This window comes from Homo sapiens, chromosome 1, assembly GCF_000001405.40.
Source record: "Homo sapiens chromosome 1, GRCh38.p14 Primary Assembly".
NCBI classification, from domain to species: Eukaryota; Metazoa; Chordata; class Mammalia; order Primates; family Hominidae; genus Homo; species Homo sapiens.
In genome coordinates, this window is record NC_000001.11 from 181,839,305 (window position 1) to 181,845,472 (window position 6,168).

General features: G+C 37.1%; 1 pseudogene; it reads right to left on the reverse strand.

Moving 5' to 3' along the window:
* On the reverse strand, positions 235-470 carry RN7SKP229 (RN7SK pseudogene 229; annotated as a pseudogene).

The following is a 6,168-nucleotide window of genomic DNA, read 5'->3' on the forward strand; positions in this document are numbered from 1 at the left end:
GACTTCATAAAAAAATTTGAATGTGCATCAAAAAACTCTATCAGAGTAAAAAGGAAACCCACAGAATGGAAGAAAATATTTGCAAATAATATATCTGATAGGGAATTGATATGCACAACATATAGAGAATTCCTACAACTACTAAACAAAAATCAAACAACCTGAATAAAGAATGGTCAAAGTCTTGAACAGACATTCCTCCCAAGAAGATATACGAATGGCCAATAAGCACACGAAAGCTTGTTTGGAGGTTCTAGCAGGGGAGCGCAGCTACTCCTACTCATATACCCTTGTCCTGTCTTCCTCTATCGGGGATGGTCATCCTCCATGACTGAGCATGCAGCTTCGAGAGGGACGCACATGGAGCAGTGACAGAGGAAGGACATAGCTGCCTAGCCAGCCAGATCAGCCAAATCAACACTGGCAATCAAAGGGGAGACAGATGCTGCAGCCAGATCACCCTCATATCCAAGCACATAAAAAGATGATCAAATTCACTAATAATCAGAGAAATGTGAATAAAAGTTGTGCTTATATCTCACCTCTTACCCATTAGGATATCTACAGTCAAAAAAAAAAAAAAACAGGAAAAAACAAGTGTTGGTGAGGATGTGGAAGAATTAGAATCCTTGTGAACTATTGGTGAGAATGTAAAATAGGATAGCCTCTGTGGAAAACAAAGGGCAGTTCCTGAAAATATTAAAAATAGAATCACTACATGAACCATCAATTTCACTTCTGGGCATATGCCCAAAAAACTTAAAAGCAGGGTCTAGACAAGTTATTTTTATACTCATGCTCATAGCAGCATTATTCACAATAGTTAAAATGTGGAACCAACCCCAAATGTCTATCAACAGATGAATAATCAAAACGTGTTATATACATACAATGGAATATTATTCAGCCTTAAAAAGGAATAAAATCCTGACAAATACTACAACAAGGATGAACCTTGGGGACATTATTCTGAGTGAAATAAGCCAGTAACAAAAATATAAATATTTCACAATTCCACTTATATAAGGTATTTAGAATAGTCAAACTCATAGAAGCAGATAATAGAATGGTGGTTGCCAGGGGCTAGGGATAAGAGGGAATGAGAAATTATGGTTTAATGGTTATAGAGTTTCCATTTTACAAGATAAGAAGAGTACTGGAAATGGATGGTTGTTATGGTCACACAACAATATCAATATGGTCAATACCACTGAACTGTACACTTAAAAATGGTTAAGATGGTAAATTTATGTTATATGTATTTTACCAAAATAAAAAGTTGGAATAAAGTGATGTAATTAATCATATTAATAATCTATAAAAGTGAAACCCTGTGATCAGCTCAGTTGATGCAGAAAAATCACATGACAAAATCTGACCTCCATTCCTGACAAAATCTGTTAGCAAGAATATACAGACACTTTCTTAATCTCATAAACGGCATGTATGAAAAACCTATAGCTAACATCTTGTAGTGGTTACCTTACAAATTTCAACATTCATATTTTACGTATTTAGCATCCATCTTAAGTTAGTACTTTTGCAATCTCCCAAACAAAAGCTTAACTGTATTTAACTTCAATCTCTTGCCATTTGTACTATTGTGATATATAGTTTAGCTACATATGTAATAAAATTCATAGGACTTTATATCATCATCATCATTTTAAAAAGCATTTTTAGTTACCATCTCCTGTTGTTTTCATTCTTTCAAATAATTCCATGATTCCAATAGGATTATTTTAATACAGCCTTAAGAACCTCCTCTATTGTTTTTTTAGTGCTTATTTGCTTGCAGTGGATGCTGTTTTTATTTGTCTAAAAATCTTTACCGTAATTTTCTTTTAACTTTTTATTTTGACAGAATTTCAGAGTTCAAAAATTCAAAGCAGTAATACAAGGTGAAATAATACAAAGAATTTCTATATTCACCTAGATTCCTCAAATGATTACTTCTTTGCATTTATCATATCATTCCCTCTCTGTCTTCTCCCCCAGCCCCACTTCTTGTTTTTGTTTTTTGTTTTTTGTGGTTTTTTTTGAGACAGAGTCTCGCTCTGTCGCCAGGTTGGAGTGCAGTGGTGCAATCTTGGCTCACTGCAACCTCCGACTGCCTGGTTCAAGCCATTCTCCTGCCTCAGCCTCCTGAGTAGCTGGGATTACAGGCACATGTCACCACACCCAGCTAATCTTTGTTGTTTTGCTTTTTTTTTTTTTTTAGTAGAGATGGGGTTTCACCATGTTGGCCAGGATGGTCTCAATCTCCTGACCTCATAATCCGCCCGCCTCGGCCTCCCAAAGTGCTGGGATTACAGGCTTGAGCCACCATACCCCGTGATAATTTTTTAATTACATTTTTCTTTCTAAATTCATTGGCTATCTAGCATCAGAAACAGCTTTTCCTTCTTAGTCATTTACTAATTGGTATCAATGTGAATTTATGGGGTTTTTTAAATTTCACCTTTATTTTTTGAAGGATATTCTCTCTGGACGTAGTTTTTTAAAAGATGTCATTTCAGTGCCTCTGGCTTAAAGAGTTTTAGTTGAAGAGTCAGCCCTTAATCTTGTTGTTACATTGGAAGTGATATCTGCAGTTCCCACTTTGCTCTGCCCCCAGCTATGTTTAAGGTTATCTCTGTCTTTGGTTTTCAGCAGGTTGAATGTATGTGCTATAGTTGGTTTTCTTTGGACTTAGCTTGTTTGGGATGTGCTAAACGCTTTGATCTTAGAATTGAAGACTTTCATTCACCGATGAATGAAAAATTCTTATCCATTACCTCTTCGGTTATTACTTTTGCCCCAACCTGTCTTTCTTCTTCTTCTGGGACCTATATGTAATCCTATAATTTTTTTTTTTTTTGAGATGGGGTCTCATTCTGTCACCCAGGCTGGAGTGTAGTGGTGTGATCATGGCTCACTGCAGCTTCTACCTCCCTAGGGTCAGGTGATCCTCCCACCTCAGCCCCCCAAGTAGCCGAGACTACAAGTACAACTGTCACCACAGTCTATTTTTTGGTATTTTTTTGTAGAGGTGAAATTACACCAGGTTTCCCAGGCTGATCTTGAACTCCTGGGCTCAAGCCCTCCACCTCTCTTGACCTCTCAAGGTCCTGGGATTATAGGCATGAGCCACCATTCCCGTCCTACTACAATTTTTTTTTTAAACTGAGTTCCACGCATCTGTTACTCTCTTGTTTTTAAAAATTTTTAATCTGCGGTGCTTCAATTTCAACTTGAGTATTATCTCTTGATCTTCAGTTTACTAATTCTATATTCTGTGTCTAAGTCTACTGTTGAAACTAATGACATTTTAAGATCAATGAATTTTTAATTTGTACTTTTTAGTTCTAGAGTATCCACCTGACACTTTCATTGGTTTTCAATTCTCTGATGAAATGTTTCATGTTTTATCCATTTGGTCCTCTTTATGTTGTTTACCATAAATCACTGTTACTTTAAAGTTATTGTCTGTTAACACCAATATCTGGATCATTTGTGGATCTTCTTTCCTTATTCTTCTTTCTCTTCCTCTTTCCCTCTTCTTGTTCTTCTTCTTTCCTTGTTTTTGGCTATTTTCTAACCTGTTTGCATTTTCAGTAACTTTTAATTTTAATATACCTATTGTTCATAAAAAACCATAAAGACACCAGATGATAAGTTCTATAGCTATTGTTCTCCCTTTTTGTCTGTTAGGCTTATTGAGTATACAGTTAATAATCTCAATCTGGTCAGGCTTTCTACTGAATAGTGTCTGGTTTGAAGATTTTCTGTGACTCAGTTTACCTCTGGTAGTCCCTATACCCCAAGATTAGCCCTCCAAGGCTTTTTGTAGTCTAGTGAGCATCTTTCTTCCACCCGAAAGATGGCATGTGCTTCTATTATTCCTTTCAGAGGTTTTAAGCTTAGCTTTTTAGTCTCCTGCCTTATTCCACTTCAATATCTGGCAAAGGAAAGGACAATCTGTCCTTAAGAATTTGTCTCTTAAGTCCTGCGGTGTTTGACTTTCTGTTCCTGTGTTAGTTCACTTAGAATAATGACCTCCTGCTCTGTTCATGTTGCTGCAAAGAACATGATATTGTTCCTTTTTGTGGCTGTGTAGTATCCCATGATATATATGTACCACATTGTATCCAATCTACCATTGGTGGGCATTTAGGTTGATTCCATGTCTTTGCTATTGTGAATAGTGCTGTAATGAATACACATATACATATGTCATTATGGTGAAATAATTTATATTCCTTTTGGTATACACCCAATAATGGGATTGCTAGGTTGAATGGTAGTTCTAAATTCTTTGAGAAATTGCCAGACTAGCTGGGCACAGCGGCTCATGCCTGTAATCCTAGCACTTTGGGAGGCAGAGGCTGACAGACTGCCTGATCTCAGGAGTTCAAGATCAGCCTGGGCAACGTGGTGAAACCCTGTCTCTACTAAGAATACAAAAAATTAGCTGGGTGTGGTGGCAAGTGCCTGTAATCCCAACTACTGGGGAGGCTGAGGCAGAAGAATTGCTTGAACCCAGGAGCCAGAGGTTGCAGTGGGTCAAGATCACACCACTTCACACCAGCCTGAGCGACAGAGTATGACTGTGTCAAAAAAAAAAAACAAAAAAATTCCCAAACTAATTTTTGCAACTTTTGAAAATTATATTTTAGTTGATGCAGATATGGTTTCCAATTTTCTAATGAAAACTGGGTGTCAGTATATTAATAACTGCTACGTCCCTTTATATTACTTTTTATTTAAATAAGATAGCAGCACATTTTAGGAAATCGGGAAGCTGGGACATCCACTAATTCTAATGAAATTTGAATTTCATTAATTGAAAAATAAAGGAGGAGTTTTATAAGTTAGTTTATACAATCTCAAACATTTTTTAAAAAGATTCTTCAAAATACATCATAGGAATATATAGAGAAAAATGAGATATCAATGTTGTATTTATACATTGTTTATATCCACACTATAGTTATTATACATTTATAATGCAACAAGACTTCATTAAGCATCTTTTTTGTGGTGCCCTGTGAGATATAGGTGACTAGATCTCTATCCTTAGTCTCTTCTGAAATCACTGAACTGAAGCAATGTCATGACCATAACCTTGGACAATGGTGTGTTGCTAAATATCTAACAAGTGGCTCTTCAAGGAAGAAACAAACACACATCGACTTATAGCATTATCCATTACTTATAGCATAAATCCTCCCACTATGTTCAATTTCAAGCAACCAGCATGATTACTTAATGTGGGGTTTGGGAAGAGATATGAACAATTGGCTTGCATAAGCCAGTGCCAACAAGCTCCAGTATGCTACTGAGTCCTAGGAATGACTGAGTTGAGCATAGTGAGGAGTTCTTTAACAAGTCTATTCCGGCTTACTTGATGCTTTACAACTGCCTATGCTGGTATGGTTAGTGTGCACAACAGGCTGCCTTAAGTGATTATCTCTTTATTCCATGAGCCATTATTCATTTTACACAGGCAACTCACAAACAGCATCTTCTACTGAAACACTAAGATAATAATAAAAATAAAATGAAAAACGGTTTCTAAAATCCAGGGGTGCTGCTCCATCTGGGACATTTATGAAGATGGTGTGTGCAGAGATTAAGTGAGAGTCAGCTCTCAGAGGGAAGGGAATCTCAGCAGAGGGCAGGGAGTCCAGTGGGGGAAAAAAATAAATCACAAACCTGGAGTTGCTGCTGGACATAGATTTACCCTCAGGAAGAGTGGCTGAGAAGCCTAAGAAGAACCATAAAGCTGCTAGAATATCAGGGTTAGAAGAGTTCCTGGGATTAATCTGGACTTACCTCCCACCCAGGACCATGTACTCCCCCAGAGAAGAATCTGAATGTCCCCTGGAGTTCACTGATTTCTTTCTCTTCAACTCAGTTTCTCTATCCTTTAATTAACCAATGTCTTAAGAAAATTATGACTCAGATAATCCTAAAATATACTGAGAATCTATGTCTTTTCCAAATATGAACAAAACTTAAAGAGGGATGTTTTATATTGACTGCAAACTACAGATGACTACTCAGCCATGATCCATCAGTGCCACCTGCCATGGACACAGGGGAGGCAAGTAACTGTGCTAACACCACAAATCTGTCATCTTTGACTTAAAAGAATATATTCCTCTCAGGTTTCCCCATGTATGA